This window comes from Homo sapiens, chromosome 9, assembly GCF_000001405.40.
Source record: "Homo sapiens chromosome 9, GRCh38.p14 Primary Assembly".
NCBI classification, from domain to species: Eukaryota; Metazoa; Chordata; class Mammalia; order Primates; family Hominidae; genus Homo; species Homo sapiens.
In genome coordinates this window covers 22,061,313-22,077,078 of record NC_000009.12, presented here as the reverse complement: position 1 = coordinate 22,077,078, position 15,766 = coordinate 22,061,313, and the positions used below count along the sequence as shown (strand labels likewise).

At 38.6% G+C, this 15,766-nt stretch overlaps 1 long non-coding RNA gene across 27 annotated transcripts in view, besides 2 other annotated features; it reads right to left on the bottom strand.

The window, feature by feature from the left end:
- The window catches only part of CDKN2B-AS1 (CDKN2B and CDKN2A antisense cis and trans regulatory RNA 1), a 133,352-nt gene that overhangs the window by 51,064 nt on the left and 66,522 nt on the right, over positions 1-15,766 (bottom strand). For 2 of the 27 annotated variants that reach the window (NR_003529.4, NR_047539.2), the window contains exons 9-12: positions 15,053-15,126; positions 13,061-13,135; positions 11,322-11,417; positions 10,726-10,844 (exon numbers count right to left, since the gene is read on the bottom strand). The exons of 19 other annotated variants lie outside the window; for them this stretch is intronic. This is a non-coding gene — a long non-coding RNA (CDKN2B and CDKN2A antisense cis and trans regulatory RNA 1). The remainder of the gene's footprint in view (positions 1-10,725; positions 10,845-11,321; positions 11,418-13,060; positions 13,136-15,052; positions 15,127-15,766) is intronic. 6 more of the 27 variants (NR_185860.1, NR_185864.1, NR_185851.1 and 3 more) reach the window with 5 other exon arrangements.
- Positions 8,075-8,219: an enhancer, noted in NCBI's record as "145 bp 9:22068931 sequence used in MPRA reporter constructs". NCBI's record gives its function as "activates a minimal TATA-containing promoter with rs80298469 allelic activity by MPRAs in C283T melanocytes and UACC903 melanoma cells {active_cell/tissue: C283T | UACC903}" and the evidence as "EXISTENCE:reporter gene assay evidence [ECO:0000049][PMID:36423637]".
- Position 8,147: a transcriptional cis regulatory region, noted in NCBI's record as "rs80298469 or 9:22068931 MPRA-significant variant associated with a GWAS melanoma risk locus at 9p21.3". NCBI's record gives its function as "allelic transcriptional activity by MPRAs in C283T melanocytes and UACC903 melanoma cells {active_cell/tissue: C283T | UACC903}" and the evidence as "EXISTENCE:reporter gene assay evidence [ECO:0000049][PMID:36423637]".

Genomic DNA, 15,766 nt, shown 5'->3' with positions numbered 1-15,766 from the left:
CCTCAAAGGATACAAAGTAGCAAATATGTAGGATGAACAAGTCTGAAGATCTAATGCCCAACCTGCCAACTATAGTTAATATTAGTGCATTGTAGGCCAGGCATGATGGCTCATGCCTGTAATCCCAGCACTTTGGGAGGCTGAGGTGGGCAGATCACTTAAGCCCAAGGAGTTCGAGACCAGCCTGAGCAACATGGTGAAACCCTGTCTCTACAAAAATTAGCCAAATGTGGTGGCCCGTGCCTGTAGTCCCAGCTACTCGCAAGGCTCAGGTGAGAGGATTGCTTGAGCCTGGGAGGTGGAGGTTGCAGTGAGCCAAGATTGCGCCACTGCACTCCAGCCTGGGTGACAGAGTGAGACCTTGTCTCAAAAAAATAAATTTAAAAAATAATAAAAATGGTGTATTGCGTTCAGGATTTTTGCTAAATGAGTAAACTATAGCTGCTCTTGCAATGAGGGGTTTGGAGTGGGAAGGGAAGCAGGTAACTATGTGAGATGATGGAGATGTTAATTTGTTTCATTGTAATAACCATTTTACCCATAGCACCGTGTTGTATACCTTAAAATATATTTTTAAAATTAAATTAAATTAATTTTACCTGTTTCTTTTTACTTTTGTAATGTGGCTATTAAAAATAAATAGTTATATATTTTGATTAGACAACCCTGTTCTTTGCTATTTTGAGAGATTATATTATTTTTATTTCTTTGTTTATGTTAAACTCAGGCCAGGTGTGGTGGCTCACACCTGTAATCCCACACTTTGGGAGGCCCAGGCGGGTGGATCACCTGAGGTCAGGAGTTCAAGACCAGCCGGGCCAACATGGTGAAACCCTGTCTCTACTAAAAATACAAAAATTAAGATAGGCATGGTGGCAGGTGCCTGTAATCCAACTACTTGGGAGGTTGAGACAGGAGAATTGCTTGAACCCAAGAGGCAGAGGTTGGAGTGAGCTGAAATCGTGGCATTGCACTCCAGCCTGGATGACAAGAGCAAGACTCCATTAAAAAAAATAAAATAAAATAAAACCTCTCCAATCTGAGGATGCCAGTACTTGACTTTCCTATCAATCATACCTGACTTTAAAAGGACAGACACAAACTCTTCCAAAAAGAGCAAGATCACCACTGCTTCCTGTCCTCACCCTTCTTTGTACTGTAATACAAAGATTTGAGCAGAGCCCCCATTCTTAGAAATATATAGTTTCCCTGCTCTAACAGTCCCAGAAAATAAAGGGGTTCATTTCTGGGATGTATTAAATACAAACGGGCATTTCTTCTCATCCCTGCTTCATTTCACGTGAACGGTTGTCCCTTAGGTGTCCCACCTCCTTTGCTGTTGCACCCATAAATGCAACTGATCACAGAGGCACCATCACCCTGTTCCTTTCTTCTTTTGCAGAGGAAATCATAAATGTCAAGTTACATGCACTTGAAAGCCCATGTCAGGAAAGAAGTCACAGATAGATTGGCGCTTCCCATCCCCACCAAATTAAGACCCAGAGCTCACAATTTGGGGGTTGTGGTTTTAAGAAACAAACTTGGCATATGTCATTCTTCTCCTACTTTTCTCCACAGGATAATTCCTGTTCATCCTTTGAAGCCCAGTTAAGACTTTATTTTTACAGGAAACCTTCCTACATCCCAATCGCTGAGTCTCAAAGTCCTCTCTGCTTTGATCATATACTATGACTCTTTCTTTCATATTCATCACCACTCTTTAAGTTAAAGGTCTCCTACAATCTCCTCAGGTGTGATTCCTCATCATTGCCTGACTTTCTTAAGGTGAAGGCCAACAGGCAAAGACATCCTGACTCTTGAGAGAATTCAACTAGTTAACTGGCCTGGGGATAGGCAGGGAGCTAGCCTAGAGTCTATAACATTGCAGTGCTTTCTAAACCTCAACTACTCACATGTCACCTTCATGTATTTTGTCATGCCTGAGTTTCCCCAGAAGTCTTATTAATATTTCTCTTTAAATCAACTCACATTTTTAAGTAAATGTATTTAAAGAAGAAACTGTATATTGCTACCATGAATGGAAAACATTTTTCTCATATGAATTAAAAATACATAACAATCACAATAAAAACATTTGTCTATGTACCATCTAAAATTCTCTCTTCCACCACCAATGGTATACTCATTCATTACTTGGAGAAACAATAGCCTAGAATGTCAGTAGCAGACCAGTTGGAAGTCTAAAGTGTGGACCAGAGCCTATGAAAGCCTTCATGGCAAGCTGGTCTGTCTGGCTTAAGAGAAACCAGATAGAGCTTTCCAGAACAAAGGCTTTCACTTAACCATAGTCCACAGATATGCATCTCACTTGCCTGGAATCAGTGCCCAGGAGAGGTAGTGGGTGGGGAAGAACAGGAACCTAGTAAAGTGCAAGAAAAGCATAATAGTCCCAAGAAAGTCGCTCCCCAGCCCACTCTACTCTCAGCTTCCAGCTCTCAGCAGTGGAATCTACATGAGCAGTGTACTGTGATTGTCAGCTTGGATAAAGATTTTCAACAAGGAAACAAAAGGAAACAAATATGTGAAGTCTGAAGTTTACTTGGATATATATATTTATGTAAATGTGTTATGTATTCGAGAGTGACCAGATGCATCTCTGAAGTACTCCCTACATCCCCCTATGTCCTCTTCATCAAAGACTTTATGTGGTGATAGTTTTATAATCCCCCTTAAACCAAGTCCTGCAGATAAAATAAATTGGGCTTGACTTTTTCTTCTAGTCAAGGGACTAGACTACTAGGGACTAGTAGGACCTCTTTCTTATTTGGGACTACTAGTTTTACCAAAACAATATAGTTGCTCATTGTCCATGCATTTGAAAAGAAGCAAAACTCCTTCCTTTGGAAATGTGATCTTAAAATTATAGGACCTCAAATTTTATTGAAATCCTCTAGGTGCCAAGCACAGTGGTTCACACCTGTAATCCTTCTCATTTGGGAGGCCAAGATGAGCAGATCACTTGAGCCTAGGAGTTCGAGACCAGCCTGGGCAACATGGCAAAACCCCATCTCTACAAAAATACAAAAATTAGCCAGGTGTGGTGGCACACACCTGTAGTCCAAACTACTAGGGAGGCTGAGGTGGGAGAATCACCTGAATCTGGGAGCCAGAGGTTGCAGTAAGCTGTGATCATAACACTGCTCTCCAGCCTGGGAGACAGAGCAAGATCCTGTCTCAAAAAAAAAAAAAATTATCTAGGTATGTACAGTGACTTTAGATCTAGACTACATTGTATTTTTATTTACATGATCTTATTTCAACCAACTCTCAAATAGAAATAGTAAGAACAGTCAAAGGAACACTGGTTTTAAAAATAAATCTAAACTAAAATAAACAGATACTGCCTAATTTATCCATAGGGATTTAGGCAGTTAGGGTAGTAAATAGAGTTCCTAGTAGCTAAATGGGTCAAAACAGCAGGCAGTTTCTTCATATCAAATAAAACTAAGGGTGCTGCAAAACAGGTTATTTTGGAGGGCAGATTTCCACGAACTGTCAATCACTCTCAGTTAACAGAAAATTACACCCATATATTCTTAGAAATCTCTCTGTCTCACCTCACTCATAGTGCTAGGGTGGTAATGTTCCTCTTTGAGGTGGTGTATATTAAATACACATGGCTTGGTGTGAAAATGCTAGGGGATTTTTGCTAATTTTGCATACTTCCCAGCCTAGATGCACAGTGCTTTTAGAAATATTTTGCAGGGGTCAGTTATGGTTGGACACATGCTCAGATAATCTTTTTGAATCGTGAAAATATTGCTCTAAACAGTAACAGTTCTTTATAGAGAAGGAATTATTTTCTTGGTAGGAAAAATATTGACAATAGCCATCTATTTTCAAGAGTATACCTATTCCTTTTTACTCTTTAGCCTGAAACATTAGACAAATATTGGTTTCCTAGGTCCCTTTATAAAAGTATGAAGGCAGTATTATTCTCATAGAAATTAATAAGAGAAAATAATATTTTAATATGTGACAGGGGCCAATATGGATATAAAACAATTTTCACTGTGCAAAAAAGGAATGGTCTGTAATATTAACTTTCAACATCAATTGTGCCATAATAGCATGAACTTTCACACTCATGATTTCTACTCTCATAAACGCTTTCATACTTATCTCCTTTCAATTTCTACGAAATGAGAAAGGAATATTATTCCCGATTTAAACATGAAGAAATAGAAGTCTGGAGAGCTTAAATATTTCCCCAAAGACACAAAGTTAAGACAGTAGTCAACCAGGGACAAATTCTACCACTTATTCTTCTAGTCAACTGAAATTCTAAATCTGTGGTGCATCTTCACACTGTACATCAACTCACAAGTTAGGCTGCCTTGTGCTCCTAGCATTTTGCTTCTTTGGAGTCTAATATGTCACTAAAACATGGTCCAAGGAAAACCTGACTGAGACTATATCATCTAATAACATTTATTCAAGCTGTGCTATAAATAACCACCATGTTGTACAACCCTTAGAGGGAGATATCACTATTCCCCTTTGACTGATGACAAAACTAACTAAGGCTTAGATAGCTTAAGCTACATGTGCAGGCGCACACAGGCAAAAATTATTAGAGATGAAATGGAACCTGGCTCTAGTAAACTGCATAACTAGTGTCTCTGTCTGTCCCCTGGACTCTTCAAATGAGATTGAAAAGCTCCAGGGTCATTTTCCAGCAATGGAACTACTCAAATGTAGACAAGCTAAGAAATAGGCCAGATCTGGTCTTTATATAAACTAGAAACTTACTTTCGTGAATCAAATTAATTGCTTCATTATAAAAAAATTATCTAAAAGAACCTATCAAGGAATTAAGTGCCTATGATAATGTCATTTAGAGAAAATTGCTAGCAAATTTTTATTTCCCTCAGAGGCAAGTACTCTAAATGGGCCCAAGTTACCCACAGTGATGGTACAGATCTTCTCAAGGCCTGTGATCCAAATGCAATGACATTTAGGCATGAATGTGCTTTTGTAGGCATATTTAGTTCTTAATCCACCTGCACTGCTCAGGACTTTCCCCTGTCCCTTCTTCTGACTGCTGAACACTTATGGTATTGCCTCTCAGAATGATGCAAAGTGGCAGTCTAAAACTCTTTGTAATTCTGCTCTTATTTGAAGATTCCACATGTCCTAGATTAAAAGGCATTGTTTAATGCTTTGGAACTACAAACAATATCAAACTGCACTGTGGAATACAAAAGTAAGTAAGTAATACTGACTAGAAGTAACTATTCACTTTTACATCACCTAGCTCATAGTTGGTGTTCAGTAAATATTTGTGAAGTTGAACTCATTAATACGAAAAATAATTCAAAAGGAAGATTTTCTCAGGATACATAGCAGTATATAAAATCCACAATGGATACTTGAAAATTGAGTGTACTTCCATTTAGAATCATAGAAGTTGAAGAAGATTTAGAGATACTCATATCCAATGAATACAGTCCCAGAAAGAAATACCCAGGGTCACAAAAATAATTAGTGGCAAAAGTGAACTATGAACACAGAATGCCAGATTCTTGATTCAATGCAATGCTCTTTTGACAGCACTACCACTTAGAAATGTCATCTTTAAACTAAACTCAATCACTCTATCAAATATATAGTTGCTGCAAAATAGATTTCTAGGTACTCGTATACTTAGGCCCTCACATGTAGATGCTTTAAAAATTTGCTGTGAGCCAAGATCGCGCAACTGCACTCCAGCCTGGTCAACAGAGCAAGACTCCGTGTCTAAAAAAAAAAAAAAAAAAAAAAAAAAAAAAAGCTAGATATTTCTAAGCCTGGCCTCTGAGTCATTAGATCTGGGTCCTGGTATCAGTTTTTAACCAGCCATTTGGTGGCAAGTCACTTTGTCATACTAGATATTAGTCTCCTAAGTTGTAAAATGAAGAGGCCAGATGTATCTCCTAAGTTGCAATTGAATTTTTTAAAAACTGACTTAAGCAAATAATTCAAACTAACATCTCTTGTAACTGAAGAGTACAGAAATAGACGTTTCAGATGTGGCTTAATCCAGTGGCTTGAATCACATCACCAGGACCTAATCTTCCCCCATTGGTCCACTGTGTCCCTGTACCTTGCTTCCAAGGCCCATGTATCACAAGATAACTGACAGCTACTCTAGGCTTACATCTTCCTAAATTCAAATCCTCTGGGTCAGGCAAAATCAATAACTATGCTGAACAAAATGCCTCTTAGGTCACTTACATTTGCATTAATTGATTCTATGAGCTTCTGTTAATGTCTATCTTAATTTATAAAATATATGAACTGTTTTGAGGAATCTTAATATCTTGCTGTGCACCAGAGGCAGGCATTTGTTACACTACTGTCATGGCTGGGACCGGTAACTAGCACTTCACCATGTGCCAACATTTCAGCTCTGCCTGATGGTAGTTTCCTTCATGTACAATGTTGTCATATGTCACTTGGCCTTTGTACACACTCCTTCCTCTGCCCAGGACGCCCTATCCTTCCTTGTCTCTTTGTAAAATGCTTACTTATTTGCCCAAGCATCACTTTCCCTGGGAAATCTTCCCTGATCATTGCCCTTCCCTGAAGTGAAATTGACCACTCAATTGTACTTAGACCTTCCTACCTATCTTGACTGGACTATGTGTCACTTTATATTCATTGTTTACATGTCCTTTCCAAGGACTACTGACATTTGGAGGGAAAAAACTATTTTATTAATTTATAATACAATTATATATTATTTATCTGTGTTTTCCCAGGACCAAATACAGTGTCTGAAACAGCAGTCATTCAATAAATTTGACTGAATCGAATCAATCAATTAACCAATTAACTCTAATTCCTCCAAACTGGAACATTACTGACTCCTGTTCTGTCATCTAAAACACAATTTAAAATAATGCATCTTTCTGTCAACTCCACTCCAACCACTTGGCAATAATAAATGGTTTTATAGTCATATTTTCATAAAGTTGAGCTGATCTTGCTTTCTAACCATTGTGAGGATAGTGTTCATTTGGTTTTCATAAAATGAGTGAGATTTACCACCATTAAATCTGAGGCACCTAAGTATTAGATAACGCACATTCCCAAAAAATAGAAAGAATCACTTGAACCTGGGAGGCGGAGGTAGCAGTGAGCCAAGATTGTGCACTGCACTCCAGTCTGGGCGGCAGAGCGAACTCTGCAAAAAGAAAAAACAAAAAAAGGAATAGAACAGTGGTTACCAGAGACTGGGGAAGCAAGAAGGAAGGGGAAGAAGATGGGGAGAGGCTGGTCGACAGGTACAAAGTTACAATTCAATAGGAGGAATAAATTCTAGCATTCTATTGCACAGTAGAGTGACTATGATTAACAGTAAGGTATTGATATTACGAAAGAGCTAGAAGAGAGGCTTTTGAATGTTCTCATCAAAAAGGAATAATAAATGCATGAAGTGATGAGTACACTAAATATACCTTGATTGGATTATTATACAACATAAAAATGTATCGAACCATCAAATTGTATCCCATAATTATGTGTAACTATAATGTCTATTAAATAAATAAATAAAAAGCAAAAAAGAAAGACTGTTTCTCAATACTTATACAATCGTATATCTCTCAGTGAATCATTTTCCTAGGAGTTTTTTCACGGGAATAATGAAATACTTTTAATAGAGTTGGTTGAGTGCACAATTTTGTCACTAATCTATATTCCTCAGCTATAGTGGTTATTCGAGAAAAAAATTTCTATGTACTTTGTGAATTTGTTAGCTAATCATAATATTCCTGCTACTCCTCCATTACCCATGGGTTTTGCTACTCCTCTATTACCCAAGGGTTTGTCAGAGGTTACTATGCCAGAGGAGTGCCAGGCGCAAAACTTTACTTAGGGAGCTGCAAGACAGGGGCCCAGGAATGAAATTATCGCTCTGTATGACCTACCCATTTCCCACGCATTATTTTCACACAGGAAAAGTAATAATGTAAAAGAGGCATCTGAAAAAGCCTAGAAAAGGGAAAGAAAGCTAACATGCAATGACAGGGGACTAACCATTGCCCTTATCTTGGTTATAAGAGTGTGCAAATGAGTTTCTGATGGCATCTATAGCTGCCAGGAAGGACGAGTCCCCAAAGCATAGGTCCCTGGGGTAATTCCCATGATTCACTGTAGGCCAGGGGCCCTGATTGCCTGTACTGTTTGTTGACTTGGATGTGGCTACTACTTGTTAAAGCCCATTGAACAGGTTGACCATCAGTTTACTGTCAGTCTTACTTAAGACCAAGGAAATTAGTGGAAGATACTATCCAAGCTTGATTATGTTTCATTTGCTTGATTCACTGTTTATGACTTGGGAAAAACAAACAAATAGATTCAGAAAGCACATATCCACGTTTACTAAAGGAGCTCATTCAGTAATGCAATGCTGATCTTACTATCATTGCAAAGCCACTTAAAGACCACACACTACGTCACTGGAAAAGAGTTCAATAGAGGCCTCCTACGAGTAACACCCTTACACTTCTGCTACAGAAACTACACCTTTTAGATTCCTTCTGTAAACCACGCTCTCTGTCAAACTCGGGCTTGGTACATAGTGTCTCATCTGCCGGGACATTCTTCTCCGCCTGACTCCCTGATCCTTCAATTTCCCCTAATCAAATCTTATTTTTCTTTCAGTTCCAAATTCCCCAGTGATATTTCCCACGATCTCCTAGATTAGATTATATTCCCTTGCATTCTGAGCTTTCCTTCCCTAACACTTATCAGACTGGACATTATATGTTCAATGTTTGCCTTCCCAGATTGATTGTAAAGTCCTTGAGGTCCAGCAACTTTTCTGTCTTGTTCATAGTTGTGAACAAAGATGTATGTATGTGGAGTTGTCTGATTAAACTTGGAGAGAATGAAAAGAAAGATTTCTTCATGCTTATACAAGTAGGGGAAAAGGGAGATCTCTGAGAAAGAGAAAAAAGTGAGGACAAAACTAACATTTAAGTGTAGAGTAAGCCCCTCTTATGTGTCAGATATTGAACTATGAAGCTTCGGGGCTACACAGACCCAAAAGTCATGGTTTGTGCTCAATAAATTATTGTTGTTATCTTGAGTCAGAAAACAAAAGATTGATGAAACAGGATATTTGCATTCCTGAAATAGGGAGAAGAGAATGAGAGAAAGACAATCTTAAGAGAAAAGGCAAATTTGGAAAGCTTTTACAATTTCATTGATTCCTTTGCCTTCTTCACCTGAACCCTAACGTACAGATTGCCTTCAAATTTGTGTTTTGCTGAACTGGAACATAAAGCTACCACTTAAGATTTATGAAAACACTTTAGGCTCTTTGCTTCTACATTATTGTTTTCAAAAAAAAGAGTTTAATCAACAAGCATTTATGAAACCCCTGCTATGTGGCCAGCTCTGTGCTAACCACTGTAGGCTGTATACTTTGAAAAAGATGTTTTATTTTGCCTTCATATTTCAGCTCTCCACATCCTTCCTAGACATGTAGCTACATGTGTGTGTGTGTGCGTGCGTGTGTGTGTGCGTGCGTGTGTGTGTGTGTTCTTTTTATTTTTCTTTAAATAAGCACTCTGTAATGACAATAACACATTTTGGTGCTAAGTTAGGTGAGGAAGCTGAAACAGTTGCCTACATGACTCAATCCTGCTCTTGTTCTATGAAGCTTCATTTATTTGACATCCTATCCTCATTGTGAACACACAGCCTTGGCAGCACTAAGTACTAAAGATAACAGTGATTAACTCCAGTCTTCTGAATAAAAGATACAACATTCTGATCTGCTCTTTTATAAGAAAAATCATGCTTAGTCTCCATCTGAATACTAGAGATTGTGCAGTGGTTTTTTTTGTTTATTATTATACTTTAAGTTCTAGGGTACATGTGCACAATGTGCAGGTTTATTACATATGTATACATGTGCTATGTTGGTGTGCTGCACCCATTAACTCGTCATTTACATTAGGTATTTCTCCTAATGCTATCCCTCCCTCCTCTCCCCACCCCACAACAGGCCCTGGTGTGTGATGTTCCCCACCCTGTGTCCAAGTGTTCTCATTGTTCAACTCCCACCTATGAGTGAGAACATCAGTGTTTGGTTTTCTGTCCTTGCGATAGTTTGCTCAGAATGATGGTTTCCAGCTTCATCCATGTCCCTACAAAGGACAAGAACTCATCCCTTTTTATGGCTGCATAGTATTCCATGGTGTATATATGCCACATTTTCTTAATCCAGTCTATCATTGATGGACATTTGGGTTGGTTCCAAGTCTTTGCTATTGTGAATACATTTTCTGCCTTAGTAACGCTGCTTTTCCAGCTTCTGAGAATTTCTAAGACCCGATGGTAACTCTATGCTAAAATTAAAATACGAATGTTCTTTTTAAAACTGCACAATCTCTTTGCTATTTTATGTTTATTGAGACATTATTGACAATAGCAAAGATATTGTGCAGTTTTGAAAAGGACATTCGTATTTTAATTTTAGCATAGAGTTACCATTGGGTCTTAGAAATTCTCAGAAGCTAGGAAAGCAGCATTACTAAGGCAGAAAATGTAATTTGAACAAGAGTTTTTGGCTTAGTGCAGTGGCTCATGTCTGTAATCCCAGCACTTTGGAAGGCTGAGGCAGGTGGATCTCTGGAGGCCATGAATTTGAGATGAGCCTGGGCAACATAGTGAGAACCTCTATCTACAAAAAAAAATTAAAAAACTAACCATGCATGGTGGTGCATCTGTAGTCCCAGCTGCTCAGGTTTGAGCCTGGGAGTTCAAGGTTGCAGTGAGCTGTAATCATGCCAATACACTCCAGCCTGGGTGACAGAGTGAGACCCTGTCTTAAAAATAAAAAAAAAAAAATAGAATTTTTAAAAATCTAATGTTTACCTAGAAGATTTCAGCTCTTCATCACCCACATTGTCCTCACTCTAGACATGTAAAAGAAACTTGCAGGTGATTCAAATGGATATAATCAGACAGAGGGAGATAATTCAATATGAGCTATTACAGAAAGAAGGCACTAAGGTTAATCAGCCTTCCAGGGGAACATGAAGGCTTAAACAAAATCAATGCTATTTCAAAGAACTTCCGTGTCCAGGGAGTGCTCATGAGACAGAGTTTCTACCTGAAGCCAAAAGGTCACATTTATGCTCAGAACAAAGAGCTACGGGTACAAAAAGATGCTGAATAGAAAAAGAATACATCACAGTATGTTGTAAATCAAGTGAGTAAAAAGAACATATAGCATAGATTTGTTTTCCCCAAGACTGACTCACATTTTCTAAAAATAATGTGTGCACCTCTTAATAGCTGACCTGGAGTGTTGTACTGCACTGAATAATTGAGGTAGGTGTAGCTCATTACTCCAAGGGATGTGGTTTCTGCAGAAAAGCAGTCTCCATGTCCCAGGCCTTCAAAGGAAAAAAATCACTGTCAGTAGAAAAGTGATAATAGAACAAAGCTACTGAACCTGCTTGGGAGCTACCTTAACAAAAAGTTCGTTCAATAGCAGAAGCTTCCTTTCCCCTTCCAAGAAATTGTAACGTCTCAAGTACAGTCTCAGTTACATTTCAAAGGAAGTAGGAGGTATTAATACATCTTGGTTAGAATCATATTTGCCTATCTTCATGAAAGTCTAGAAGACTCTAGACAATGTAAAACTGCAATTCTCAAAGTCTAGTGGTTACTTTATTGTCGAGTCAAGGGAGACCTGGAAAACTAGACCAGGCTGGCAATCTTTGCTTAGGGCATGTCAGTCCACTCCATCTCACAAATGAGCCAGGAGCTAAAGATGTCCTTAAGACTGGAAAGAGGAACCTGGTGGGTGGCCTAGATGGGTGTCTGGGCTTTGTAATAGAAAAACACAGAGATGGAACTTCTGGACGGGAGAAGTGCTGACGGAGGTACTCAAACTCCAGGGAAGAATGCCAGTCCACATCAAAACTACATAATCACTAGAGAGAATCAGCCCAGGTGCCAGCTTACCACTATAAATAGAATCTTGGCTTTGTTAAAGGGTAGCCCTAATTATCCTAGGGAATGTGTTACAGATACAGTGAAGAGTACAAAGAGAAATACATCAAAGGTGTGGGTAACAATAAAACCTAGCATATATATCGTAATTTAGAGTTGTTAAAGTGCTTTCCCACAAACAATTGCATTAAATCCTCACAACTCCAAGGATGGGAGAAATGCAGATGTTTTATTAACATTATTGTTATGCCCACCTTTTAGGTTTGTCGTTAGGCTAGAAATGAGATGTTAAATGAAAACCATTGTGTGTTTGGCCACTCAGCTCATCATGAGTCCACCCCAGGGAGAACAGGCCAGATGCCTCCACCGTGCACACAGGAGGCAGCCCATGTTCAGATCCTCAAGACCCCAGGCTCCACACAGTGAACCCACCCACACACGACTGGGACAAATCCTACTTCAGACCCTCAGACCCTCAGATATCTCTGTCTCGAACTGATTCACTCCATCTTTGGAATATTTGTGGTCAATTAATTCCAATTAAGGTTTCCATTCCTATAATCCTCATATGCTGAAAGAAAGTCAATTTGCCTCCCCTCGTTCTTAACCCTTTATTGACCTTCCTCCCTTTGGTTTCTCCTCTTTTCATACCACTATGCCTTCTGAAACCTTCTTCCTTTATGTGAAAGACCCCATCCCCAATAAGCCCAACATTTTCTCCCCACACTATGCTGTGTATTTCATCTGACACAGAGCTAAGGTAGGAATGACAATTTATTGGCTCCTTAATGCCACTTTAGGACCACCACACTTCCACCTTGGTACTCATGCCATCTGACTATACCAGTGTGTATACTTCTATGTTTGTGTCATTAGAAATACCTCCTGATCACATTCTTCAAGACACAATAGAACTCTTCTCCCCCCAAACTCCAATTTCTGTCATCATGCTAGAAAACCCAGTGTCTTAGTGGGCAATCCACCCAACACCCTCAATCTGTTCCTAGACCTTAAATACTCAGTAACAAATCTCCTACTAAACTTATACCCCCTGCCACTTCCAGGGATACATCCTGTGTACCTCCAGTGTCTTCTCCAAGGTGGCCACAGGCAACGTCACCAGTGGTTTTGTGGCAAAATAAAAAGCCTCCATCACCTATGGGAATAATAAAAAAATACATCCTGAGCTTTGCTGCCACCAAAAATAGCTCCACACCCAATATCATAACTGCAAATAACACACTCTCTTCCCCAGCTGCCTGTCCTCCAGTGCTCACAAAACCCTCACTTGCACACGTCTGCTCTCCAAACTCTTTGAGTCCTCCAGCTCCGGGGTCTTCGTTTCCTCACAGGCCACTAGCCTTTCCCAAAACAGACAGTTGAAGTTGAAGAAAGAGTTGAAGAAACAGTAGTTGTCATCTAAACTGGTCACTCATCAGCAACCTCAAATCCCTTCATGTCTTTCTCACTATTGCACACACCTGGCAAACTCCTAACACAGGATCAATGCAATCTTGGTACCTACAAGGCTAAATACTCCTAAACACATTATTACAATAATTTGGATTATTGTCACAACAAACATATGGTCTCTGATGTTAAGTCCTCAATTAATCTCTTCAATTTTTTTACTTGATCAATTCTATCTCCTACTCTTGTAGGTATTTTAAACCTCTATATTTCTATTAAGGAATCCCACCAACACCTGCTTTCCTTACTTTAAGCAGGCAACATAATTTTCTTCTTCATTAAAAAATTGGTGTCTCAAGAGGTAAGAGTAAAATCAGGGGAATGTGGTGTCACAAAACTGAACTTTTTGTGAAGAATCCTCCATCCCCTCTATGAGGACACTAAATAGCAAAGTTCTCAGAGCTACCCTAGGCTTTCTTCTTGTCTCATCTTTACAGGTGTGCCTCATCTGCTCCTATAGCTTCAGTTATCCTCTTGATGTAAAGGCCTTTGGAATCTCTATTATCGTTCACATCTCTCTCCTAAGCACCATTAAAACTTCAACTGAACATTTACACTTATGCATCCAGAAAAGTGCCTTGAAACCATATATCCAAAATTTATAAGTCTCTCTCTCTCTCTCTCTCTCTCTATATATATATATGTGTGTGTGTCTGTCTTTCACACACACACACAAGTCACTTTTCTTATCTCCTCAAAGGCATCACCACCTACTTGTTTGAGACAGAAACAAAGGTAGTCAACTTTGCCCCCTCCCTCTGCTTCGCCCAATTCATCAACAATATCTACTAATATTATCTCTAATCCTTCTCTCAAGCCCAATTTTTAACCCTGTTCAAATAAGGAAACTAAAGCTGAGAAAGGTTTAAAAAAAAAACTACACAATATTACCCAACTGGTAGGTGGTGGAGCCAACCCAGACACCCCTCAGCCTCCAAAACCCATGCATGAGATGACAGAATATCACCTCACTTAGGGGAAATTTTAGAGCCAACGATATCTCCAAGAAACACAGAGACTACCTCAGAACCCCAGAGAAAGACTCTTGGAATCATGTAAGGAAATGTCTTCCTCATGTAGCCCCATTAAGGGCTGCCAAGTCACAAGTGACACAGCCCACAGCCCTGGCTCTAAAAGAAAAGAGAATAATGTTTCAGCAGAGCTAGCCCAAAACATAACACCAACCTAAATTTTCCTCAGATAAAACACAAACTATACCTCCATATCAAGCTGTGCCCAGAAATGAGGTATTAGTGCCAGGGACCTGTATGCTGTAAAGATTTCCTTTTCAAGAATGTAGTATCTTCAATTGTATACATAAAGACCCTTTTGAAAACTACTAACTTTCTGTAAGCTAAACAAAAATAAATTCATTCATCATGCTAACAATAGCATGGTGCATTTTTATTGTCCAGAGGTTATGGAGGCTTCACTTGAACTAGCTCTAGAACTGATAGGGAGCCAGCAGAGATATAGAAATATCATGGTCCTCTGCAAACACTGGCCCAGTTCCACCTGTATCTTCCCTTCACAGACCCATTTCACTCACAACGTCAGTAACAGATGTCTAGAGACTCTAAAAAATTGTTCCAAAATTTGTTACCTTGTGAAAAGATTATCTTCTTTTAATTTATGAGTTCTTCGTAGGCTTCTGTTTAAATTATGAATGTGTCATATCTGATAATATGAGGATAAAAATAATAGCTAGTATTTTTTAGTATTTAATGTCAGGCACAAGCCTACATATTTTACATACATATATAAGTGTATATATAGATATATAGATTTATATATGTACAAATTTAATCTTCACAACAAAAGTAAAATCAGGTGCTATTATTCCCTCCCCCCTTTTGTAAAGAAGAAAACTCAGGCATATAGAGGAGAAATACCTTAACCATTACCACACACCTTGTAAGGGCTGGGACAAATAAACACAAGTAATTTTCAAATATATTAATAATAATATTCTGAGTATTAATTCCTGTTTCCAAATAGATTACTCTTTTAAACATAGCACTACTACTTACCTAATGAAATTTAGTTGCTATTAATGGATGAATTTTGTATCTAACAGGCTTGATTTTGATTATGCATTTTAAATGTCAGTCAGACACATATTAATAATGATCCATGTTTGTAGCTAATAGGCCCAATATATACTTTTTAAAGATCTTTATATTTTTCTTCATGATGCTCAACCCTCACTTTCTTATAAACACACAATTCGTTCTCAGATTTAAAAGTATAAATGGGAGAAAATTGAATTTATTTGCTTATTGTTCTCCCTTTTGGCTAGTAAAGGAAAAAATGTCAT